General features: G+C 45.5%; 1 protein-coding gene and 1 pseudogene across 1 annotated transcript in view; both read right to left on the bottom strand.

Moving 5' to 3' along the window:
• RPGRIP1 (RPGR interacting protein 1) overlaps positions 1-24337 on the bottom strand; it is a 71219-nt gene extending 46882 nt beyond the window's left edge. The window contains exons 1-6 of the mRNA NM_020366.4: positions 24261-24337; positions 16359-16481; positions 9611-9743; positions 3183-3454; positions 1836-1932; positions 877-1089 (exon numbers count right to left, since the gene is read on the bottom strand). Coding sequence (NP_065099.3) covers positions 877-1089; positions 1836-1932; positions 3183-3454; positions 9611-9743; positions 16359-16443 — 800 coding nt within the window. The 5' untranslated portion in view covers positions 16444-16481; positions 24261-24337. The remainder of the gene's footprint in view (positions 1-876; positions 1090-1835; positions 1933-3182; positions 3455-9610; positions 9744-16358; positions 16482-24260) is intronic.
• MRPS17P6 (mitochondrial ribosomal protein S17 pseudogene 6) lies at positions 12837-13181 on the bottom strand (annotated as a pseudogene).

Raw genomic sequence — 26625 nt, 5'->3', positions numbered from 1 at the left:
CTTTCTTTCTTTCTTTCTTTCTTTCTTTCTCTCTCTCCTTCCTCCCTCCCTTCCTTCCTTCCTTCCCTCCCTCCCTCCTTCCTTCTTTCCTCTTTTTTTTTTTTTTGACAGAGTTTTGCTCTTGTTGCCCAGGCTGGAGTGCAATGGTGCAATCTCGGCTCACTGCAACCTCCGCCTCCCAGGTTCAAGGGATTTTCCTGCCTCAGCCTCCTGAGTAGCTGGGATTACAGGCACCGGCCACCATACCTGGCTAGTTTTTTTGTATTTTTAGTACAGACGGGGTTTCACCACGTTGGCCAGGCTGGTCTTGAACTCCCGATCTCAGGTGATCCACCTGCCTTGGCCTCCTAAAGTGCTGGGATTACAGGCGTGAGCCACTGCGCCCAGAAGGTTAATTCATTTCTTTTCTTTTCTTTTCTTTTTTTTTTTTTGAGACCAAGTTTTGTTCTTGTTGCCCAGGCTAGAGTGCAATGGCGTTATCTCAGCTCACTGAAACCTCTGCCTCCCAGGTTCAAGTGATTCTCCTGCCTCAGCCTCCCTAGTAGCTGGGATTTACAGGTGCCTGCCACCATGCCTGGCTAATTTTTGTATTTTTAGTAGAGACAGGGTTTCTCCATGTTGGCGAGGCTGGTCTCGAACTCCTGACCTCAGGTGATCGGCCTGCCTCGGCCTCCCAAAGTGCTGGGATTACAGGCGTGATCCATGGTGCCCGCAGGTTAATCCATTTCTTAACCTACGAGGGACTCCGTGTCTACTACTCCGATTGAATTTAATCCCAAACACTCTTTTCCTCTGAGATGGAGGAAAGGTATAAATAAGAATCTCTTAGCTTTTTCAGTTCGTTTTGGTTTGAGGCATGGAGTGCCACACTCTTACCGAAGCTCTGCAGCCTTCTGAGCACACTCCAATGAGCTTCTCTGTTCAAAATTTTCATCTTTAGGCCACATTTTCTCAGGAGACTTGGGTGGCTCTTCCACTTGCATGGTATTGCTGGCCATGATGTGGGCACTGTTAGGCATGCATAGACCAATGGGTTTAGCCATACTTATGACACTGCTGAAAGAAATTATGCTGTTAGAACCAGAAACACTAAATACAAAAAGGATACTTAGAAACTGTTGTTACAGGAGTTTAGAATTGGGTTCTTACACATATAAAAAGAAATTAAGTGAATCAGTAACCTTGGTACATGTCGAGGAAAATCTTATAAAATACAGCTTTCAAATGTCAAACAAAACATAAAGGAATTATGGGCCAGGCGTGGTGGCTCACACCTGTAATCCCAGCACTTTGGGAGGCCAAGGCGAGCAGATCACAAGGTCAGGAGTTGGAGACAAGCCTGGCCAACATAGTGAAACCCTGTGTCCACTAAAAATACAAAAATTAGCTGGGCATGGTGGCACATGCCTGTAGTCCCAGCTACTTAGGAGGCTGAGGCAGGAGAATTGCTTGAACCTGGGAGGCAGGGGTTGCAGTGAACCAAGATCACGCTGCTGCACTCCAGCCTGGGCAACAGAGCAAGACTCCATCTCAAAAAAAAAAAAAAAAAAAAAACACAACAAAGGAATTATGACCTAAGGAAAAAAATATAAATGTAAATAGAGGGAATACCTTCAACTGAGAAATGGACCTTTATTTTCATTTCCTCAGAGAACAGAGAGACGCTTGTTTTCCACTTTTAAGCAATGAAGTTGGAATTTGACCTAGGGTCGACTTTCATCTTCCCTGATCATGCTGAAAAGACTCAAATCACCAACATTCATTTGTTCCCTAAATGATGTCTTTCTAATTAAAGTGGCAGGAATAACAACATGGGATAAATGAGAAGAACTCACAGTTCACTGGGTTTACTGGCTACTTCACCTCTGTTTTCATTTGTCGCATGCTCCTTAAACGATGGAGGGGCTGTGTAGCTCAGCCTGTCCCTTGGCCCTAAAAGTTTAGACAGAAGATGCAGACTCGGGCAACAGTACCCTCCGGAACACCAAGTACTGAAACTGGAACATGAAGGGCTGGGCATAGAGTCTTGAGACCTGGGTGAAACCCTTGTATGACAAATGGTCCCCGAGGAGCAGTTTTTTTTTTACTCTTGCAAAAAACTGCAACTAAAGTCAGCCAGACTATAGATCCTCAAGTGAGTAAGTACAAATAGGAAGAAAAAAGAAAGGTGGAAGCTTGTCCAGGGCAGAGACTGTGTGTCTAACTCTAACCATCTTTGTATCTAGTGCCCAGTACATAACAGGTGGCCAGCTATGCTGAACTGTTAAATGGAACTGAAATTTAAATTCATGCAAGTTTTCTACTTTCAGTTGTTTTTGCATGCGTTTGGTTGTCTGGAGTATGGAACTTGAAATTATAGGACCACACTAAGCAAAATAAGTGAGTACTTACTAATAAAATAAGAGTACTTAATGAAATGCTGTGTGTAGATTTCCTTTACCTAGGTTACTCATTCCTGATTTAGGGCCATGAGAATGAGGTGTCTACTCTAGAGATTCAACGTTGAGTTTTCTTTTTGGGGGTTTTGTTTTGTTTGTTTTTTGAGGCAGAGTGTCACTCTGTTGCCCAGGCTGGAGTTCAGTGGTGCCATCTGGGCTCACTGCAGCCTCCGCCTCCCAGGCTCAAGCGATCCTCCCACATCAGCTTCCCAAGTAGGTGGGACTGCAGGCATGTGCCACCAGGCTTGGCTAATTTTTTATTATTATTATTATTATTATTATTATTATTATTATTATTATTATTTTGAGACAGAGTCTCGCTCTGTCGCCAGGCTGGACTGCAGTGGTGCAATCTCAGCTCACTGCAACCTCCGCCTCCCGAGTTCAAGTGATTCTCCTGCCTCAATCTCTCGAATAACTGGGACTACAGGTGCGCGCCACCATGCCCAGCTAATTTTTGTATTTTTATTAGAGACGGGGTTTCACCATGTTGGACAAGGATGGTCTCCATCTCCTGACCTGTTGTCTGATTCTGCCCTCAGCGACACTCCATGGTGAATTTAGAATTTTGAATCTGATATCCCAACTCAGGAAATAAAGATTTTAGGGAGGCAGAAAGGAGGGAGTGAGAACAAAAGAACAAAATGGGGTGGTGGGCAGAAGAAGGCAGTGAGGAAAACGTGGCTGGCACATCAGTCCTTCCCAGTGTCTTAGCCCTGTAGGGGATGTAGCCTTAAATCTCACCCCTCTTGGGTTTCTCCGGCACCGGTGCACCGGCTGTGTGGAGCTGTCTGTGTCCCACTTGGACGCGAGGCTGGGCGCGGCGGGGGCTGGCAGGGCCGACGCAGTGGAAATGCCCTTGCAGTCGGTGCATCTGGGGGCGCTGGTGCATGGAGAGGCGCTGCCGCCATCCCGCCTTCTGCCCGCGCCTTGCGGTCTCCGAGAGCGGCGCCGCCTCCTCCGCGACCCGCAGGTCCCGGCCAGCAGCGGTCAACCGCAGCAAGGTGGTCCTCAGCCTGTGGACAAATAGAGCACGTGGCTTCTCCTTTCATGACAGTTATTATTTCTACGGGTTATTTGGGACATATAATCACGAATTGATCTATAATATGTATTCATCTACCGTGATCTATTAACCACACTTTAAAAAGATTAGCCTTCTGTCCCCAGTACACTGTAACTCTTTGAGGGCAGGGCCATTGTGATACCTGTCTTTATTTTATTGCAGTGATTACACCCTTATCTTAGTAAAAAAAAAAAAAAAAAAAAAAAAAAAGTTGAGCCACTACCCCAATAGTATTTGTGTGCATTTAAAAAAATTATATATAGACTTGTTTTTGTACTAATAAATTGTCATTATAAAACAAAATATGTATGTTTAAATGGGTGACAAATATAAATAACAATTTTAATATTTGCTTTTTCTATCCCACTTGTCTACACACCCCTGTATATGTGCTCCAAATTAAGGATAACTCCTTTATAACTTTTAGTAACAATTTTTATTTGTTATCTTGACCTAAAATCATGGTTTTTTTGCTACTATCTGATTCTATGCTCTCACTGTGCTATGGCCTGAATTGTGTCCCCACTCAAAATTCTTATGTTGAAGCCTTAACCCCCAGTGTGACTGTATCTGGACATTGGGTGTTCCGGAGGCTTTTTTTTTTTTTTTTGAGACGGACTTTTTCTCTTGTTTCCCAGGCTGGAGTGCAATGGCACGATCTCAGCTCACCACAACCTCTGCCTCCCAAGTTCAAGCGATTCTCCTGCCTCAGCCTCCTGAGTAGCTGGGATTACAGGCATGCGCCACCACGCCTAACCACAAAATACTAATTTTGTATTTTTAGTAGAGACAGGGTTTCTCCATGTTGGTCAGGCTGATCTCGAACTCCTGACCTTAAGTGATTCGCCCGCCTTGGCCTCCCAAAGTGTTGGGATTACATGCGTGAGCCACCGCGCCCGGCCTTTGGAGGTTATTAAGTTTAAATGAGTTCACAAGGGTGGGGCCCTAACTGGATAGGACTGTGGCCTTGTAACAAGAGATCTCCCTCTCCCACCTCCCAAGACACAGTGAGAAAGCAGCAGTCAGCAAGCTAGAAAGATGGCCCTTACCAGGATCCAACCACGCTGACACTTTGATCTCAGACTTCCAGCTTCAGAACTCTGAGAAAACCAATGTCTGTTGTTTCAGCCACCCAGTCCGTGGTATTTTGTTATGGCATCCTGAGCTGACTAAGACACACTGCCCGTCTGTTCTGACATTTACTAACTGTAGCTTTGGCCATGCCACTTAACCTTTCTGTGCTCAGTTTCCTCATTTATAAATAAAGATAAATAGAAAAAGATAAAAGCAGTAGATTGTTGTGAGGATTAATAAGCTTATATATAAATATATATGTAAAATGCTTAGAACAGTGGGGTTACACTGTAAGGGCTTCAGGTGTGAGCTATTATTATTACATATCATTATACCCAGATAAAGAAAACAAGGTGTAAAATAGCTATGTAACTTGCCCAAAGCCAGGGGCATAGAATCCAGATTAACCATTTAGCATCCATAATCTCAAGTACTCTTTGATTATCAACCAAGAAACTAGATTTTTTGGCCCATACAACCTTCTGACTTCACTCAAGTCACTAGATTCTCAAGTTCTCAACAATTAAAAAAAAAAAAATCGGCCCTTTGCGGTGGCTCACGCCTGTAATCCTAGCACTTTGCCGGGCTGAGGTGGGCGGATCACCTGAGGTCAGGAGTTCGAGACCAGCCTGACTAACATGGAGAAACCCTGTCTGTAATTAGCTGCACGTGGTGGCACATGCCTGTAATCCCAGCTACTTGGGAGGCTGAGGCAGGAGAATCGCTTGAATCTGAGAGGCGGAGGTTGCGGTGAGCCGAGATCACGCCATTGCACTCCAGCCTGGGCAACAAGAGCGAAACTCCCATCTCAAAAAAAAAAAATCACCAACTCTGAAGAGTGCTGATCCACAATGGAGGCCTGCATTCCTGCAGATTCTTTTTTTTTTTTTTTTTTTTTTTATGAGACAGAGTCTCACTCTGTTGCTCAGGCTGGAGCACAGTGGTGCGATCTCTGCTCACTAGAGCCTCAGCCTCCCGGGTTCAAGAGATTCTCCTGCCTCAGCCTCCCGAGTAGCTGGGATTACAGGCGCCCACCACCACACCCAGCTAATTTTTGTATTTTTAGTAGAGACGGGGTTTCACCATGTTGAACAGGCTGGTCTTGAACTCCGGACCTAGTGATCTACCCGCCTTGGCTTCCCAAAGTACTGGAATTACAGGCATGAGCCACCACGCCCGGCCAATCCTGCAGATTCTAAACGAAGATCTTAATCACTCCTGGGGGTTACAATGAGAAAGCAAAACACTGCCCTTGACATTAGGAAACTGGTCTGACACAACTGGTCCTCAGTGTTGTTTGAAGCTAGTCTGTGCTATCTCCATTTGTTTTTGTTTTCGTTTTGAGACCGAATCTCACTCTGTCACTCAGCCTGGAGTGCAGTGGCGCAATCCTTGCTTACTACAACCTCCGCCTCCTGGGTTCAAGCGATTCTCTTGCCTCAGCCTCCTGAGTAGCTGGGATTATAGGCGCCTGCCACCACGCCCGGATAATCTTTGTATTTTTAGAAGAGACGGGGTTTCACCACGTTGGCCAGGCTGGTCTCTGAACTCCTGACCTCAGGTGATCTGCCCACCTCAGCCTCCCAAAGTGTTGGAACTACAGGCATGAGCCACCGTGCCCAGCCACTATTCTTTTGGACACCTCACAGAACATCAACATGAAACAAGTTCACTCCAAAACCATGATAGAATGATACAAAACAAGTCCACTGCCTAATTTTGTCTGCTTACAGACAAAATTAGTGTCACTGCCACCCACAAAATACCAAACATCCTTCTCTCCAGGTTAATATGAGTGACTGCAACTTCTTTACCAATCATGGCTTCAGCCTTGCACTAGTTTACCCTCCCTGTAGATAAGATTTATTGATACTTGATTCCAGGAAGTTGAGGCTAAAGTGAGCTGAGACTGCACCACTGCACTCCAGCCTGTGTGCCAGAGTGAGACCCTATCTCAAAAAAAAGAAAGAAAGAAAGAAAGAAAGAAAGAAAGAAAGAAAGAAAGAATAATTTATTGAGATACCGAAACATAGAATTGTGCTTGCTTTCTGACAGCATGAAATCTGGAGCAAACTTCTGTTTCCTTGGATCCTCCCCCAAAATCACCCAATCAAACAAAGCTTAGATACTATAATAAGTTCTAACACATTTGCTGAGATGCCTTTAGTTCCCCTGGTGTGCATATTCTCTAGCTGTAATGAATAAGCCCAGCTTGCTCAACTGTTGGTATGTTCCTGGTGGTCCTTGGCTGGAAGGCATTGACACCAGTATCTTCAAAATGTGTCCTAGAGATAGACTCCAGACTTTGAGAACTCCCATTCTTCCCATCTGTTTACCTTCCCTCACCTCCGTCTCAGATTTCTTTCCAGGTCCCCATTTTCTAAAGAAAGAAATCTAAGATCACTGTATATAATAATATGTTTTGAAGTTAAGAGTTTTTCCCACTGGGACAGGCGCGGTGGCTCACACCTGTAATCCCAGCACTTTGGGAGGCCGAGGCAGGCGGATCACTTGAGGAAAGGAGTTCGAGACCAGCGTGGCCAACATGGTGAAACCCTGTCTCTACTAAAAATACAAAAATTAGTCAGGCATGGTGGCACATGCTTGTAATCCCAGTTACTTGGGAGGCTGAGGCAGGAGAATCACTTGAACCCGGGAGGCAGAGATTGCCGGTGAGCCGAGATTGCGCCACTGCACTCAAACCTGAGTGACACAGCAGGACTCTGTCTCAAAAACAAAACAAAACAAAACAAAACAAAAAGAGATTCCACCTCTGTTATGCACTAGGTATGATCTCAGGCAACTTATTTAACCTCTTTATGCTTCCTTTTCCTCTTAATAATACCTCTTCAGACTATTAAATGAATTAATACTTTTTTTTTTTTTTTTTAGATGGAGTCTTGCTCTTGTCGCCCAGGCTGGAGTGCAATGGCACAATTTCGGCTCACTGCAACCTCTGCCTCCTGGGTTCAAGTGATTCTGCTTCAGTCTCCCGAGTAGCTGGGATTTCAGGCGCCCACCACCACGCCCAGCTAATTTTTGTATTTTTAGTAGAGACAGGGTTTCATCATGTTGGTCAGGCTGGTCTTGAACTCCTGACCTCGTGATCCACCCGCCTTGGCCTCCCAAAGTACTGGGATTATAGGCGTGAGCCACTGTGGCTGGCTAATTAATACTATTTCTAATAAATTAACTGGGCACGATGGGTCATGCCTGTAATCCCAGTACTTTGGGCGGCCAAGATGGGGGGATCATTTGAGGTCAGGAGTTTGAGACCAGCCTGGCCAACATGGTGAAACCCCATCTCTACAAAAAATACAAATATTAAGGCCTGGCGTGTTGGCTAATGCCTGTAATCCCAGCACTTTGGGAGGCCAAGGTGGGTGGATCACCTGAGGTCAGGAGTTTGAGACTACCGTGGCCAACAGGGTGAAACCCCATCTCTACTAAAAAAAAAAAAAAATTAGCCAGGCATGGCTGGGCACAGTGGCTCACACCTGTAATCCTAGCGCTTTGGGAGGCCGAGGCAGGCTGATTGCCTGAGCTCAGGAGTTCGAGACCAGCCTGGGCAGCACGGCCAGTGGTGGCAGTGGGCACCTATAGTCCCAGCTACTCGGGAGGCTGAGGCAGGAGAATCGCTTGAATCCGGGAGGCGGAAGTTGCAGTGAGCCGAGATCGCACCACTGCACTCCAGCCTGGGCGACAGATGGAGACTCCGTCTCCAAAAAAAAAAAAAAAATTAGCTGGCCATGGTGGTGTGTGCCTGTAGTCACAGCTACTTGGGAGGCTGAGACAGGAGAGTTGCTTGAACCTGGGAGGTGGAGGTTGCAGTGAGCCGAGACTGCGCCACTGCACTCCAGCTTGGGCAACGGAGCGAGGTTTCATCTCAAAACAACAAAAAAAATTACTCTGACGTGGTGGTGCAAGCTTGTAATTCCAGCTACTCAGGAGGCTGAGGGAGGGGAATCGCTTGAACCCAGTAGGCAGAGGTTGCAGTGAGCCGAGATCACACCACTGCACTCCAGCCCAAACAGAGTGAGACTCTGTCTCAAAAATAAATAAAAATTGGCTGGCGTGGTGGCTCAAGCCTGTAATCCCAGCAATTTGGGAGGCCGAGGCAGGCGGATCACCTGAGGTCAAGAGTTCAAGACCAGCCTGACCAACATGGAGAAACCCCGTCTATACTAAAAATTAGCTGAGTGTGGTGGCGCATGCCTATAATCCCAGCTACTTGGGAGGCTGAGGCAGGAGAACCACTTGAATCCTGGAGGCGGAGGTTGCGGTGAGCTGAGATCATGCCATTGCGCTCCAGCCTGGGCAACAAGAGCAAAACTCCATCTCAAAAAAAAAAAAAAAAAAAAAATCTCAAAAATAAATAAATAAATAAATAAATAAATGTATAGATAGCACTTACAACATGCCTGCAGGGATCAATACGATCTTTAGTTTTCTTTTGTAAATAAAGACCCCTTCTTTTACTTGCCCCTGCAGGCTTTTCTCCTCTGAAATTTTGACCATTCCACCTATCTCCATCCCCTCAGTTGTGACCAGGGGAGGAACCTGTCCAGTCTCTTATTCTGTGGACTGAAATATTATCACCCAAGCTCTTAATGATGCTCTGTGTCCTGTGGTCACAGTCTATCGACATGTTTGGCAAAAAAATTGACTAAAGAAATATTGCTTCAAAAATTATTTTTGGGCCGGGCAGAGTGGCTCGCATCTGTAAACCCAGCACTTTGGGAGGCCGAGGTGGGTGCATCATCTGAGGTCAGGAGTTCAAGACCAACCTGGCCAACATGGCGAATCCCCATCTCTACTTAAAAATACTAAATTAGCTGGGCATGGTGACGCATGCCTATAATCCCAGCTACTTGGGAGGCTGGGGCAGGAGAATTGCTTGAATCTGGAGGCGGAGGTTGCAGTGAGCCAAGATCATGCCACTGCATTCCAGCCTGGGCAACAGAGCAAGGCTCCGTCTCAAAAAAAAAAAAAAAAAAAAAAAAAAAAAAAATTTAAGGAGAACTCTAAGTACCTTTTGATCTCATCCTGTTGCTTCCAAGAAAGCTCCTTCACCAACATGTGATCTTCGCGAAGTCGAAAGAAACTGTCCTCCAATTCCTCCCGGTTCATCCTGCTCAAGGGTGGTTGAGTTTTCATATTCTTACCTAAAGTCCCAGAAAACAGTAAATGGACAGTATTTTTACACCTATTTTTTGAACCCTTTAGATGTCTCATCACATCTTGTCCAGAGAGCATAAATCTATCTTGAGTCAAGTATTTATGAGGAAATCAGGAAGTATGAGAAATGACTCTGGGCCAGGCGCAGTGGCTCACACCTGTAATCCCAGCACTTTGGGAAGCTGAGGCAGGCAGATTGTGAGGTCAGGAGTTCGAGTCCAGCCTGACCAACATGGTGAAACCCGGTCTCTACTAAAAATACAAAATTAGCTGGGCGTGGTGGCACGTGCCTGTAATCCCAGCTACTCAGGAGGCTGAGGCAGGAGAATTGCTTGAGCCTGGGAGGCAGAGGTTGCCATGAGCCGAGATCGTGCCACTGTACTCCACCCTGGGTGACAGAGCAAGACTCTGCCTTGGAAAAAAAAAAAAACAAAAACAGAAATGACTCCTACTGGGTCCCTGGAGACCCTTTCTATATTATCACAGCATGAGGTATAACTCGACCTTCCGTCTAGAAAGTACATTCTCTAGATAAAAATATCCAATTAGGCTTTTATTTTACTTAATTTTTCTTTTTAGTTTCTTCTTCTTCTTTTTTTTTTTTTTTTTTTGAGACAGGGTCTCGCTCTGTCACCCAGTCTAGAGTACACTGGTGTGATCTTGGCTCACTGCAACCTCCACCTCCCAGGTTCAAGTGATTCTCCTGCCTCAGCCTCCAGAGTAGCTGGGATTGCAGGTGCCTGCCACCACACCCAGCTAATTTCTTCCATTTTTTTTTTTTTTAAGAGACGGAGTCTCGCACTCTCGCCCAGGCTGGAGTGCAGTGGCGCCATCTCGGCTCACTGCAAGCTCCGCTTCCCAGGTCCACACCATTCTCCTGCCTCAGCCTCCCGAGTACCTGGGACTATAGGCGCCAGCCACCACACCTGGCTAATTTTTTTGTATTTTTAGTAGAGACGGGGTTTCTCCATGTTAGCCAGGATGGTCTCGATCTCTTGACCTTGTGATCCACCCGCTTCGGCCTCCCAAAGTGCTGGGATTACAGGTGTGAGCCACCGTGCCCAGCTTAATTTTTGTATTTTTAGTAGAGACAGGGTTTCACCATGTTGGCCAGGCTAGTCTCCAACTCCTGACCTCAGGTGATCCACCTGCCTCGGCCTCCCAAAGTGCTGGGATTACAGGCATGAGCCACCATGCCCAGCCTATTCTTCTATTTTTTTCTCCTTATTAGATAATTTGGACCTACACAAGGATTGTTCCCATGACTGTCTTCAAAAACCCAGTAAGGAAAAGGATAAAAACTTTTTTTGATTTCCAAGAACCATCTCGTTTGTTTTTTTGGTCAGGAGAAACTGTCCCCAAAGCTGCCTCCTAGGACAAGAGCCTCTGCTTGGTCTAAGCAGAGGAAACTGGAGCACACTTTTCATTGTGAGTGTTCACTGGCCCAGGTCTGCTCTGATCTCATGGTGAATGGGAACCATATTTTTTATTTTTTTGCGTTTATTTACTTATTTATTGAGACAGAGTTTCGCTCTTTTTGCCCAGGCTGGAGTGCAATGGTGCGATCTCGGCTCACTGCAACCTCTGCCTCCCAGGTTCAAGCAATTCTCCTGCCTCAGCCTCCCAAGTAGCTGAGATTACAGGCACCTGCCACCACACCTGGCTAATTTTTTGTATTTTTAGTAGAGATGGGGTTTCACCATGTTGGCCAGGATGGTCTCCATCTCTTGACCTCGTGATCCACCCGCCTCGGCCTCCCAAAGTGCTGGGATTACAGGCGTGAGCCACTGCGCCCGGCTAATTATTATTTTTTTGACACAGAGTCTCTCACTGTTGCCCAGGCTGGAGTGTAGTGGTGCTGTCTTGGCTCACTGCAACCTCCGTCTCCCTGTCTCCCAGGTTCAAGCAATCCTTGTGTCTCAGCCTCTCGAATGGCTGGGATTACAGGCATGGGCCACCACAGCCAGCTAATTTTTGTATTTTTAGTAGAAATGAGGTTTCACCATGTTGGCCAGGCTGGTCTCAAACTTCTGACCTCAGGTGATCCGCCTGCCTCAGCCTCCCAAAGTGCTGGGATTACAGGCATAAGCCACCATGCCTGGCCAATTTTTAAATTTTTTATAGTGACAAGGTCTCACCATGTTGCCCAGGCTGGGCTCAAGTGATCCTCCTGCCTTGGCCTCCCAATGTGCTGAGATTACAGGCATGAGTCACTGGCTAGATTAATTTTTGAATATATGCTATAAAAATATTCCCTTAATGTGGTTTTATCTATTTGTGACATCAAAATTTTTTTTTCTCCGAAAACAGTGTTTCTGAGGTGCTTAGAATGAAAAAAAAAAATACAACTTCCCAACCAAAGAACCTGCAAAATAATGTTGCTAGGTCAACTAGGAAGGTAAGGTCACTAGGAAGAAAATTATAACATGACCATATGCCTTTATAAAAATATTTATATATGACAAATATTTAGGCCAGACGCGGTGGCTCATGCCTGTGATATCAACACTTTGGAAGGCCATGGTGGGCAGACAGCTTGAGTTCAGGAGTTTGAGACCAGCCTGGGCAACACAGTGAAATCCCTCTCTACAAAAAATATAAAAATTGGCTGGGTGCAGTGGCTCATGCCTGTCATCCCAGCACTTTGGGAGGCTGAGGCCGGAGGATCACGAGGTCAGGAGTTTGAGACCAGCGTGACCAACATGGTGAAACCCCGTCTCTACTAAAAATACAAACATTAGTTGGGTGTGGTGACACGTGCCTGTAATCCCAGCTACTCGGGAGGCTGAGGCAGGAGAATTGCTTGAATCTGGGAGGTGGAGGTTGCAGTGGGCCAAGATCGCACCGTTGCCTCCAGCCTGGGCAACAAAAGCGAGACTCCATCTCAACAAAAAACAAAAAACAGAAAACAAAAATTATCTGGGCATGGTGGTGTGCACCTGTAGTCCTAGCTACTTGGAAGGCTGAGGCTGGAGGATCGCTTGAGCCTTGGGAGGCAGAGGTTGCAGTAAGCCAAGATCGCACCACTGCACTCCAGCTTGGGTGACAGAACAAGACCCTGTCTCAAAAAAAAAAAAAGGTACTTCATCTACTTTTAGTTATTTCATAAATGACAGAAGTGAAATTGGACATGTTTGTAATGAAACCTAAAAAAGCTTATTTTTTCATAAAATAAACTTGTAAATATTCCCCTTTCTCATCTTCTATTTTTCTTTTATGATACTGAAGAAAAATATTGAATTCTTTTAGCTTTTTGGATATGTGGGTGGCTTCCAAACTGACTGGAACTCCAGGTAGGTAGTTCCTGAACAACGGTTTCCTATCACTATGACTCTTCTAACTTGAAAAATTATCTCAGTCAGTTCATGTTTCATGGACTTTGTGGAACAGTTAAAGCTTTCAGAAGCACAAAATTCTCAACTGTGTCCAAAATATACAAAGAACTCTTAAAACCAACAATATAAAGACAAATAATCCAATTTAAAAATTGGCAAAACTGGCCCCTGAATTAAAAAGAAAATTGGCAAAGGACCTGAATAGACATTTCTCCCAAGTAGATATACAAATGGCAAATAAGCATATGAAAAATGGTCAGTGTGATTATTCATCAGAGAAATGCAAATCAAAACCATAACGAGAAAGAATCCTTTTTTTTTTTTTTTTGAGATGGAGTCTCGCTCTGTCACCCAGGCTGGAGTGCAGTGGCACCATCTCGGCTCACTGCAACCTATGCCTCCTGGGTTCAAGTTTTTCTCATGCCTCAGCCTCCCAAATACTGGGACTACAGGTGTGCACCACCTGGCCCAGCTAACTTTTTCTTTCTTTCTTTCCTTTTTTTTTTTTTTGAGACGGAGTCTCACTCTGTCGCCCAGGCTTGAGTGCAGTGGCGCGATCTCGGCTCACTGCAAGCACCGCCTCCCGGGTTCACGCCATTCTCCTGCCTCAGCCTCCCACGTAGCTGGGAATACAGGCGCCCGCCACCAGGCCTGGCTAATTTTTTTTTGTATTTTTTAGTAGAGACGAGGTTTCACTGTGTTAGCCAGGAAGGATGGTCTCGATCTCCTGACCTCGTGATCCACCCGCCTCGGCCTCCCAAAGTGCTGGGACTACAGGCATGAGCCACCGTGCCCGGCCTTAACTTTTTCTATTTTTAGAATAGATGGGTTTTCACTGTTCTGACCAGGCTAGTCTTGAACTCCTGACCTCAGGTGATCCACCTGCATTGGCCTCCCAAGGTGATGGGATTACAGGCGTGAACCACTTTGCCCAGCCAAGAAAGAATATATTTTTTTAAAAATACAATGAGATAACACCTCAGTTACAAACAATAACAAGTGTTGCTGAGAAAGTGAAGAAATCAGAAGCATCATACGTTGCTGGTAGGAATGTAAAATGGTGCCACTGCTTTGGAAAATAGCCTGGCAGTTCCTCAAAATGTTAAACTAGTGTTACCGTATGACCCAGCAATTCTACATCTAGATTTGTGCCCAGGAGAAATAAAAACAGGGGCCAGGTGTGGTGGCTTCTGCCTGTAATCCCAGCACTTTGGGAGGCCGAGGCAGACAGATGACTTGAAGCCAGGAGTTGGAGACCAGTCCGGCCAGCATGGTGAAACCCCATCTCTACTAAAAATATAAAAATTAGCCAGGTGTGGTGGCAGGTGCCTGTAATCCCAGCTACTTGGGTGGCTGAGGCAGGAGAATCACTTGAACCCGGGAGGCAGAGGTTGCAGTGAGCTGAGATCACGCCACTGCACTCCAGCCTAGGTGACAAAGCAAGAATCTGTCTCAAAAAAAAATACTGCTATGAACATTCTGGTAATGTCTCCTGGTATATATGGGCAAGAGTTAATTTCTGCAAATTTTTAACTCCCGACCAGGTGATCCACCTGCCTCGGCCTCCCAAGGTGCTGGGATTACAGGCGTGAGCCACTATGCCCAGGCAATTTCTGCCAATTTTATACTCAAAAGTAGAGTTACACGTTCAACTTTACTAGATAATGGCAAATATTTTCCAAAGTGGTTGCATCATTTATACACTTATGGGCAGTGCATAAAGTGCCCTATCCTCAAAAAATAATTTTATAGAAGTGAAGTCAAGTGAAAATAGAATCAACGGTAGCCATGATTGGGATTGAGGGATGGGAAAGTGGAGCAAAATTACAAAAATACCTTTTTTTGTTGTTTTAGAGATAGGGTACTGCTATGTTGCCCAGACTGATCTTGGACTCCCGGGCTCAAGTGATCCTCCCACCTCAGCCTCGAGTAGCTGGTGCAGGTGTGAGCCACCAAGCCTGGCCAAAGTTAGAAAAATATGGTTTTTTGGGGGAGGGGGGTGGTATGGAGTCTCGCTCTGTCGCCTAGGCTGGAGTGCAGTGGTGCGATCTCGGCTCACTGCAAGCTCCACTTCCTGAGTTCACACCATTCTCTTGCCTCAGCCTCCTGAGTAGCTGGGACTACAGGCGCCCGCCACAACGCCCAGCTAATTTTTTTGTATTTTTAGTAGAGACGGGGTTTCACCATGTTAGCCAGGATGGTCTCGATCTCCTGACTTCGTGATCTGCCCGTCTCGGCCTCCCAAAATGCTGGGATTACAGGCATGAGCCACTGCGCCCAGCCCTAAAGATATCTTAAATAATGTGTGGAAGAAGCTCTGGTAGGGCTGAGCCCTTTCATCTTAAATTGAACACTTCTGCTTAGTGACAGTGAAGGGCTAAGGGCTAATCACAAGGATAGATGAGTGAAACCCACTAGTTGTTCTTGGCTTTTGTTGTGCTGTTTGTGGTGGTAGTATTTAGCTTTACCTCCTAAACCCACACAGTAATACTTTTACTGTAAGAATTTAAGACTAAGTCTGGGCACGGTGGCTCACGCCTGTAATCCAGCACGTTGGGAGACCGAGGCAGGCGGATCACTTGAGGTCAGGAGTTCGAGATCAGCCTGGCCAACATGGTGAAACCCCATCTGTACTAAAAATACCAAATTAGCCAAGCGTGGTGGTGGCCACCTGTAGTCCCAGCTACTCAGGAGTCTGAGGTAGGAGAACTGCTTGAACCCGGGAGGCATAGGTTGCAGTGAGCCAAGATTGGGCCACTGCACTCCAGCCTGGGGGACGAGAGAGAGTGAAACTCCATCTCAAAAAAAAGAAAAAAAAAAAGAACTTAAGAATAAAATGTGAGAAGAGGGCCAGGCACAGTGGCTCACACCTGTAATACCAGCCCTTTGGGAGCCCGAGGAGGGCAGATCCCTTGAGGTCAGGAATTTGAGACCAGCCTGGCCATCATGGTGAAAACTTGTCTCTACTAAAAATCCCAAAACTAGCCAGGCATGGTGGTGCACGCCTGTAATCCCTGCTACTTGGGAGGCTAAGACAGGAGAATTGCTTGAACCCAGGAGTCGGAGGCTGCAGTGAGCTGAGATTGTGCCACTGTGCTCCAGCCTGGGTGACAGAGCGAGACTCCATCTCAAAAAAAAAAAAAAAAAAGTGAGAAGACTGAAGAAAAGAGCTGAAAGTAAATCAGTCTCTGTGAAGGCCAGCAAGATGTTCCACAGTGAGAGTTCTTTTAATTCTAAAAGGTGTCCATCCTCAGGCGTAGAAGTTACCTTTTGAGGCTGGTAGCACCAGAGGTATAGCATCTATGTCTCTAACTGGCAAGTCTCCTGATGTAGGGTCCACCAGATGTGACATGATCTCTGTTCCCAAGCTGTAAGAGATCCCAGAGGACACTGAAATAAAGGAAAAGTCCAGTCAGTTACATGCAACTTTAGGATGTCTTCTGAAACGTGTACATAAGTTGTAGCAGGAATTTCTCAGCACTTTCATGATGGTATATGACATGTCAGAGTCATTCTCATGGTAGTGTGGACAACTCTACACTAAAGAGTAACAACAAGTATTCAGTAGGAATGACTTGATCCAAAATGAAAATCAGTTTTTATGATTATGGAATTGATGGATATCATTTCGGATCATTTTTTTAAGTGTCTGCTCAGCCTGGAAGCCGATGACCATCCCTTTTCTCTGCGAAATAGGCCTCTATCCCTCTCTCCACTCAATTTACAGGGACTGACTCCCCAGGAATCAGTTTATAGCCTACAATCCAGTCCCCGAAGCCATTGCTGATTGGACCAGGGTTAATCGAATGACCCAAGACAAATGACCCTCGCTGAACCAATCAGATTCTATCTCCTAGGAGGTTGAAAATAAAACTGAGAAGTTTAAATTAGCCTCTGGGGATGGCTAGAACTACTATGTAAACTTGGGAGCTCTGAAATGACCATATTCAGCTCTGTGGCCTGAATAATCAGGAAATCCTGTCTATAGAGTTGCCTCATACTCTGGCCAACACTTTTTTTCCTGGATGATAGTATCCAGTCTAGCCGGGATTACAGGCACCCACTACTGCACCCGGCTAATTTTTGTATTTTTGGTAGAGATAGGGTTTTGCCATGTTGGCAAAACTGGTCTTGGACTCCTGACTTTAGGTGATCTGCCCGCCTCGGCCTCCCAAAGTGTTGGGATTACAGGCGTGAGCCACCACACCTGGCCTCTTTCTCTTTTTTTCATCTCTTTCTTTTCTTCTTTTTCTTTTCTTTCCTTCCTTCCTTCCTTCCTCTCTTTCTTTCCTCTTTTTTTTTTCTTTTGGCAGGGTCTTATTCTGTCCCCCAGGCTGGAGTACAATGGCACAACCACGTTTCACTGCAGCCTCCACCTAGGCTTAAGCGACCTTCCAGCCTCTGCCTCCCAAAGTGCTAGGATTAAAGGCATGAGCCACCGTGCCAGGCCCAGTCTCCTGACTTTAAATACTATGTATGTATATGCTTTTGTCTCCAAAATTTTTGTCTCCAGCTTCAGATTTGTACAATTTTGTTTTCTGTTTTTTGCTTTGTCATCCAGGCTGGAGTGCAGTGGTGTAATCTCAGCTCACCACAACCTCCACCTGCTGGGTTCAAGCAATTCTCCTGCCTCAGCCTCCCAAGTAGCTGAGATTACAGGCATGTGCCACCATGCCTGGCTAATATTTGTAATTTTAGTAGAGATGGGGTTTCACTGTGTTGCTCAGGCTGGTCTTGAACTCCTGGCCTCAGGTGATCTGCCTGCCTCAGCCTCCCAAAGTGCTGGGATTACAGGCATCAGACCGCAGCCAGCCCAATTTCTTATTTTTTTAAACATTTCTCTTGGCATGGCTACTAGATATCTCAAATTCACTTTTCCCCAACAGGAATTTTGATTTATCTTACCAGTCTCATCTTTTCCCAGTCTTTCCCTAGGTCCATAAATGCCACTACCGTCCTACCAATCCTGCAGCTTTGATTCCTCCCTTTCCCTCACCCATTAGCATGTTCTCCAGGTTCTTCCTTTAAAACATGTATCAGCCAGGTGCAGTGGCTCATGCCTGTAACCCCGGCACTTTGGGAGGTTGAGGCGGGCGGATCGCCCGAGGTCAGGAGTTCAAGACCAGCCTGGCCAACATGGTGAAACCCTGTCTCCACTAAAAATACAAAAAATTAGCCGGGCGTGGTGGCGGGTGCCTTTAATCGCAGCTACTCAGGAGGCTGAGGCAGGAGAATTGCTTGAACCTGGAAGGCGGAGGTTGCAGTGAGCTGAAATTGTGCCATTGCACTCCAGCCTGGGCAACAAGAGCAAAACTGTCTAAAAAACAAACACAGACAAAAACAACATATATTAGCCTGTCTCCGCCACTAAAATTCAAGTGATCTGTGTCTCTTTCCTCAACTACCACATTTTTTAATGCTCTCCCCATTTTCCTCTCCCATCCTCCCTTATTTCTGCCTGAAACACCCAGAGTGACCTGTATAAAACAACCCAGTTCATAACATTTCTTTGCCAAAAGTCTCCAAATGGCTTTTCATTACACTTAAAGTAAAATTTACACTTTTTTTCCAGGGCCTGTAAAGCCCAACCTCAGCTGATCCGCTTCTTATTCCTCCAATCACACCTTGTACCTTCCTTCCTCTAGCTCACAACACTCCTCACCACTTGCCCTCTCTTTGCTCTCCCAACCATCAAGCTCTTTCTTGCTCTTTTTTTTTTTTTTGGAGATGGAGTCTCACTCTGTCACCCAGGCTGGAGTGCAGTGGCGCGATCTCAGCTCACTGTAACCTCCACCTCCCGAGTTCAAGTGATTCTCCTGCCTCAGCCTCCTGAGTAGCTCGGACTACAGGCACGTGCCACCATGCCCGGCTAATTTTTTGTGTTTTTAGTAGAGACGGGGTCTCACCATGTTAGCCAAGATGGTCTTGATCTCCTGATCTTGTGATCTGCCTGCCTTGGCCTCCCAAAGTGCTGGGATTACAGGCTTGAGCCACTGCACCTGGCCTCCTTCTTGCTCTTTATTTGGCTGACTCCATCTGATCCTTTGGTCTCTCAAGCATCTTTTCATTTGCCAGGAGGCCTTTCTCTGACTTTGGTAGCTGAACTGAGCACTTCCCCTTCTCTTACCAGTCTTATACTCTGTCACCTCACCCTGTTTATTTCCCTTGTGACATTTACTATACACAGAAACTACCTTCATTTATTTATACTAGTTTATTGTCTGTCCCCTCTCACTAAAACATAGTGACTTTGAAGGCAGAAAAATGGTTTATCTTGTTTACCTCTATAGATGCAGTACCCGAACAGTTATTGGCACATAGCAGGTACTCAACAAATAAACACCGAATGTATGAAAAGTAGAATGAACGAACAAGAGAGAGAATGACACTGAGGGACTGAAGTGAGTCAAAAAGTTCTTAAAGCATTCTGTTCTTGATTCCAGTCTTTTCCAGTTTTGTCTCCAAAATTTATGTCTCAGCTGGGAGCAGTGGTTCACGCCTGTATTCGCAGTACTTTGGGAGGCTGAGGCGGGCAAATCATCTGAGGTCAGGAGTTCAAGACCAGCTTGGCCAACATGGTGAAACCCTGTCTCTACTAAACATACAAAAATTTGCTGGGCGCGGTGACATGTGCCACGACAGAGTGATCCCAGTTACTCAGGAGTCTAAAGCAGGAGAATAGTTTGAACCCGGGAGGCGGAGGATGCAGTGAGCAGAGATCGTGCCACTGTACTCCAGCCTGGGTGACAAGAGAGAGATTCCATCTTCAAAAAAAAAAAAAAAAAAAATTTAGTTCTCCAGCCTTGACTTTCAGATTTGTACAAATTCTTTTTAAACATTTCCCCTTTCAAATGTTTCCCCTAGTAAACATACTAGACAACTGAAACTCACCTTTCCCAAAGAGGAATTGTAATTTCTCTTACCAGTCTGATTGTTTCCCAGTCTTTCCCTATTTCCATAAATGCCACTGTCTGGCTCTGTTCCTACCTTTAGGTTCTATAGTAGAGTCTTGTGCCCTATACAACAAATTCTCCCTTTTTGTTGAAGCTAGCTTGACTTGTCAACTGGAGAAGGGTGTTCAGAAGCTTATTTTGAACAAACAGAGAAATATAAAGAAGAAAGCAAAAAGTATAATGGAGAAATTCTATCACCTAGAGAAAATGTAAACATTGTATTGATCTGCTTTCCGGGCAATTTAACTTGAATTGGATAATTCATACTCTGTTCTGTAACATTTCATTTTTAAAAATCACAATAAATGGAGAGCATCTTTCCAATGTCATAGTCTTAAATAGATCTATACAGATTTCATAGCATGCCTATTTTAAGAAAGCTGAATAATCACCCCAAAGTTTAAGTACTTTCGCATGTTAGACCTAGGATTACAAGTAAATCTCAGGCCAGGCACGGTGGCTCACGTTTATAATCCCAACACTTTGGGAGGCTGAGGCGGATGGATCACCTGCGGCCAGGAGTTCGAGACTAGCCCAGCCACATGACAAAAGTTAGCTGGGCATGGTGACAGGCGCCTGTAATCCGGCTACTCGGGAGGCTGAGGCAGGAGAATCGCTTCAACCCGGCAGGTGGAGATTGCAGTGAGCCAAGATCGTGCCACTGCACTCCACTCCAGCCTGGGCAAAGCAGAGTGAGACTCTGTCTAAAAAAAAAAAAAAAGTAAATCTGCATTTAGTTTACAAGTAAATCTCCATTTGAAGTACCATATATAGGGGCTGGGCACAGTGGCTCATGCCTGTAATCCCAGCACTTTGGGAGGCCGAGGCGGGCAGATCACAAGGTCAGGAGTTTGAGACCAGCCTGGCTAACATGGCGAAACCCCATTTCTACTAAAAATACAAAAATTAGCTGGGTGTAGTGGCTCATGCCTGTAGTCCCAGCTGCTCTGGAGGCTGAAGCAGGAGAATCGCTTGAGCACAGGAGGCGGAGATTGCAGTGAGCCAAGATTACACCATTGCACTCCAGCCTGGGCGACAGTGTGAGACAGCTTCTCAAAAAATAATAATAATAAATAAAATAAATAGAGTAGCATCTACAGGTTTACTTAGTCACCCACCTTCCTAGTTTCCTACTGTAGAAAAGTAATGTGAAGGAAAAGGAAAGGTGACTGCATCATAAGCTTGGTCCTCTGGACCTGAAGCCATTTGCAAAAATGGAGCTGTAGTAGAAGGGATGCTGTTGTTCTTAATATCTGGGCCCAGAGCACATTGACGCACCACCAATGCTATATGGCACTATGGAGCAATTGAAAAGTATCATTAAAACTGAAGTCACAGAAGCTCTAAGAATGAAATGGAGTTTATTGGAATGCTAGAGAAGAAAAGCCAGTTGAGACTGTCAGTGAAGGCGTGTTGAACATCCAGTGGCCAGATTTAATTTCTCAGGAATGAAAAAGTGGAATGTAGGCCGGGCACAGTGGCTCACGCCTGTAATCCCAGCACTTTGGGAGGCCGAGATGGGTGGATCACAAGGTCAGGAGATCAAGACTATCCTGGCTAACGTGGTGAAACTCCATCTCTACTACAAAATACAAAAAATTAGCCGGGTGTGGTGGCACGCGCCTGTAGTCCCAGCTACTGGGGAGGCTGAGGCAGGAGAATGGCGTGAACCTGGGAGGCGGAGCTTGCTGTGAGCCGAGATCACGCCACTGCACTCCAGCCTGGGAGACAGAGCGAGACTCTGTCTCAAAAAAAAAAAAAAAAAAAAAATGGAATGTAGATTCTAAAAGGGTTTATCAATTGTTTTGAACTCAACAGGATGAAAGACTGAAGAAACTTCCACCCGGCGTGGTGGCTCACGCCTGTAATCCCAGCACTATGGGAGGCTGAGGCGGGCTGATCATGAGGTCAGGAGATCGAGACCATCCTGGTCAACATAGTGAAACCCCGTCTCTACTAAAATACAAAAAAATTAGCCAGGCATGGTGGTGCGTGCCTGTAGTCCCAGGTACTCAGGAGGCTGAGGCAGGGGAATTGCTTGAACCTGGGAGGCAGAGATTGCAGTGAGGTGAGATCACGCCACTGCACTCCAGCCGGGTGACAGAGCAAGACTCCGTCTTAAAAAAAAAAAAATTTCCTTGCAGTGATATTCAGAATTGCAGTGCACTTGGACAAGTATAGGTTAGTGAGGGTGAAGAACCCTTTACTAGTGATAGATGGATAGACGTATAAAGCCAGCTTGATGACATCAGCAATTAAAATTTTCTTTTCCTCTTTTTTCGAGACAGAGTATCACATTGTTGCCTGGGCTGGAGTGCAATGTTGCAATCTCAGTTTACTGCAACCTCCGCTTCCCGGGTTCAAGCGATTCTCCTGTCTCAGCCTCCAGAGTAGCTGGGATTACAGGCACCTGCCACCATGCCCAGCTAATTTTTTGTATTTTTTAGTAGAGACAAGATTTCACAATTTTGGCCAGGCTGGTCTCGAACTCCGGACCTTGGGATCCGCCAGCCTCGGTCTCCCAACGTGCTGGGATTACAGGCATGAGCCACCCTGCCCAGACTTCTTTTTTTTCTTTTTTACACTCTGTATCACTGGGCAAGCATTTAAAATTTTGTAGCCAGTTCCCCTTACTCTGATTATTATTATTATTATTATTATTATTATTATTTATTTTTTTTTTTTTTGAGACAAGGTCTCACTCTGTTGCCCAGGCTGGAGTACAGCGGTATGCTCTCGCCTCACTGCAACCTCTGCCTCCAGGGTTCAAGCAATTCTCATGTCTCAGCCCCCCAGGCAGCTGCAATTACAGGCGCAAGCCGCCACGCCCAGCTAATTTTTCTATTCTTAGTAGAGACAGGGTTTTGCCATGTTGGCCAGACTGGTCTTGAACTCCTGATCTCAAGTGATCCACCCGCCTCAGCCTCCCAAAATGCTGAGATTACAGGTGTGAGCCAACACGCCTGGGCCAAGAGTAGATTTTTAAGTGTTCTCATCAAACACAAAAAATTGATGAGCATATGAGGTAATACATATTTTAATTAGCCCAAGATTGGGCAGGTGTGGTGGCTCACGCCCGTAATCCCAGCACTTTGGGAGGCCAAGGCGGGCAGATCACAAGATCAAGAGATCAAGACCATCCTGGCCGTGGCCAACATGGTAAAACCCTGTCTCTACTAAAAATGCAAAAATTAGCTGGGCATGGTGGTGCGCACCTGTAGTCCCAGCTACTCGGGAGGTTGAGGCAGGAGAATTGTTTGAACCCAGGAGGCAGAGGTTGCAGTGAGCCGAGATTGAGCCACTGCACTCCAGCCTCACGAGAGAGAGAGATTCTGTCTCAAAAAAAAAAAAAAGAAAAGCCCAAGGTAGCCATTTTCCACTCTCTCTATATATATATTTCAAAGCAACAAATTTTACACAATAAATATATACAATTTCAAATTGTCAATTAAAAATTAATTAATTTGAAAAGGAGTTTTATTCATTCTGCAGATAGTGGATACATTTCTGAGCAAAAGAGCAATATAATTAGAGCTATGGAAGAGCATTAGGAAGATTCATCTACTATTAGTGATTTGGAAATTGGGGAGAGAACAGTGTTAAGAGGATATTGCTATAGTTCAGGCAAGAAGTCTTGAACTAGGGAAGGAGGGGGGTGGGGGATGGAAGAATAGGATGGATCATGAAGACACTGAGGAAGGAGAATCAAAAGATGTGACAACTGGTTGGACGTGAGATAGAGTTAAGAGGGTGACAGGATTAAAGATGACTTGGTAATGTTGTGCTGGATGCCTGGGAGACTGGTGGTACAATAGAAAATGAATAAACCAGGCCAGGCGCGGTGGCTCATGCCAGTAATCCCAGCACTTTGGGAGGCCGAGGCGGGTGAATCACCTGAGGTCAGGAGTTCAAGACCAGCCTGGCAAACATGGTGAAACCCCGTCTCTACTAAAAACACAAAAATTAGCCGGGCAATGGTGGCGCATGCCTGTAGTCCCCAGCTACTTGGGAGGCTGAGGCAGGAGAATCGCTTGAACCTGGGAGGCAGAGGTTGCAGTGAGCAGAGATAGTGCCGGTGCACTCCAGCCTGGGCGACAGAGTAAGACTCTGTCTCAAAAAAAAAAAAAAAAAAAAGAATAAACTTATTTCATTCTTCTCAAAAACACCCCTAGGGAAGACATAGGAAACTATAAATATGCATCAGATAGAAACTTACAGTTCTTGCTTGCTCCAGATAGCTGTCGCTAATTCTTTTCTCTCAATGTTCTGGTGTCCTTTAGTACTCTAGGTTCCAATAAGCTTGTCCTTCTGGCTTGTTAAAAGAGGAGCTAATCCAGTTCTGTTTAGCTTTTAAGATGTTAACTCTTTGTAGATCAGAGTGTGTGAAGGCTGTGCTTTTTCTCTATGCATGTTTGACTTGGAGAAAGAGCAGCTTAAAGGGTCCTTAACAGATCCACTTCTCAACTAAAACTAAAGCTGAGAACACATTTGCGGGATTTGAGATTAAAAGAAATTTGTTGGTATTCAGAGGATGATCTTTAAATCTTTTATTTATTTATTTATTTATTTTGAGACAGAGTTTCACTCTTGTTGCCCAGGCTGGAGTGCAATGGCGCGATCTCGGCTCACCGCAACCTCTGCCTCCCAGGTTCAAGCAATTCTCCTGCCTCAGCCTCCCGAGTAGCTGGGATTACAGGCATGCACCACCACAGCCAGCTCACTTTGTATTTTTAGTAGAGATGGAGTTTCTCAATGTTGAGGCTGGTCTCGAACTCCTGACCTCAGGTGATCTGCCCGCCTTGGCCTCCCAAAGTGCTGGGATTACAGGCTTGAGCCACCGCGCCCGGCCGATATTCTTTAAATCTTTATCTGAAGGGCAACAACAGTGGGAGTTGTTCTGAAGCCCTGAGATCCCTTTGAAGAGAACAAACACTGCACCGTTGGTGGGATCAACATGCCTATTCAGTCCACATGTGCCAGTGCTTTCGAGTAAGAGAATGTATATCTTCCATTTCACCGTGACCACCGTTTTGAAACCAAACTTTGGGATGTAATTATGAAGCAATAGGATTTGATATAAGAAAATTAAATGTTCTTAAAAATTCTGCAAGGCTGGTCACTGCATTCATATTATATATTAAGTGGAATACGGTCTCAATTGTTACATAAAATCCTCTTTATTTATTTATTTATTTTGAGATGCAGTTTCGCTCTTGTTACCTAGGCAGGAGTGCAATGGTGCGATCTCGGCTCACTGCAACCTCTGCCTCCCGGGTTCAAGCAATTCTCCTGCCTCAGCCTCCTGAGTAGCTGGGATTACAGGCATGCGCCACCACGCCCAGCTAATTTTGTATTTTTACTAGAGACAAGGTTTCTCCATGTTGGTCAGGCTGGTCTCGAACTCCCGACCTCAGGTGATCCACCTACCTTGGCCTCCCAAAGTGCTGGGATTACAGGCCTGAGCCACCACGACTGGCCTAAATCCTCTCTTTAATGCACTGAATGGGTGCATTGAGAAAGCTCCATTCTGGTTATTGGCATGAGGTTCGGGGATTTCCAGGAGGATGAACACATAGTTAATGGGCCCCATGTGACTTCCTCTAAATCCCATGAAATAATAAAATAAAATAAAATAAAATAAAGCTAGGGAGACAATTAGGAAGTAGAGAAAGTATCCAGGACACATACATTTCCCAGTGAAGAGAGGAAAATTCAATATAATATTTTACCAGGTTTAAATGACAGATTTATAAAATTTAAAAGCTGGGCTTTTATGCACTTAAGGTTGCTTCTTGCCCAAGCTATTTCTTGATAAATCTGGGATTTTCTGTCCTTTTTTAAGATGCTCTAGCCAGAGACAGTGCAGGACAAAATTAATTTTGAAGTAAGCCAAGTTTGTGTTTGATAATCGTGTTCTCTTTTCTGAACCTCTGACTTTTGTTAATTTTTTTTTTTTTTTTTTTTTGAGACGGAGTTTTGCTCTTGTTGCCCAGGCTGGTGTGCAATGGCACAATCTTGGCTCACTGCAACCTCTGCCTCCCGGGTTCAAGAGATTCTCCTGCCTCAGTCTCCCTAGTGGCTGGGATTACAGGCACCCGCCACCACACCCAGCTAATTTTTTGTATTTTTAGTAGAGATGAGGTTTCACTATGTTGGCCTGGCTGGTCTTGACCTCCTGACCTCAGGTGATTCACCCGCCTTAGCCTCCCACAGTGCTGGTATTACAGGCGTGAGCCACCATTCCCGGCTGACTTTTGTTAATTTTTAAAACATCTCCTACCTCTTTCAGGCAACCAGTTTCCCTTAACATTCTCATTACATCTTGGAGTGAATTTACGTGATACTTTTTCCACTAGGCTTAATGTACTTCTCAATGTAGACAGTAAGACTTTGTTCTGTGTTAAAGAAATTTCAGGCCGGGCACGGTGGCTCACACCTGCAATCCCAGCACTTTGGGAGGCTGAGGTGGGTGGATCACCTGAGGTCAAGAATTCGAGACCAGCCTGACCAACATGGTGAAATCCCATCTCTACTAAAAATACAAACATTAGCTGGGCGTGGTGGCAGGCACCTGTAATCCC

The sequence above is a fragment of the Homo sapiens genome, chromosome 14 (assembly GCF_000001405.40).
Source record: "Homo sapiens chromosome 14, GRCh38.p14 Primary Assembly".
In the NCBI taxonomy this organism is placed as follows: Eukaryota; Metazoa; Chordata; class Mammalia; order Primates; family Hominidae; genus Homo; species Homo sapiens.
Note: the sequence above shows the minus strand (reverse complement) of the source record. Positions and strands in the feature narration are given on the sequence as shown.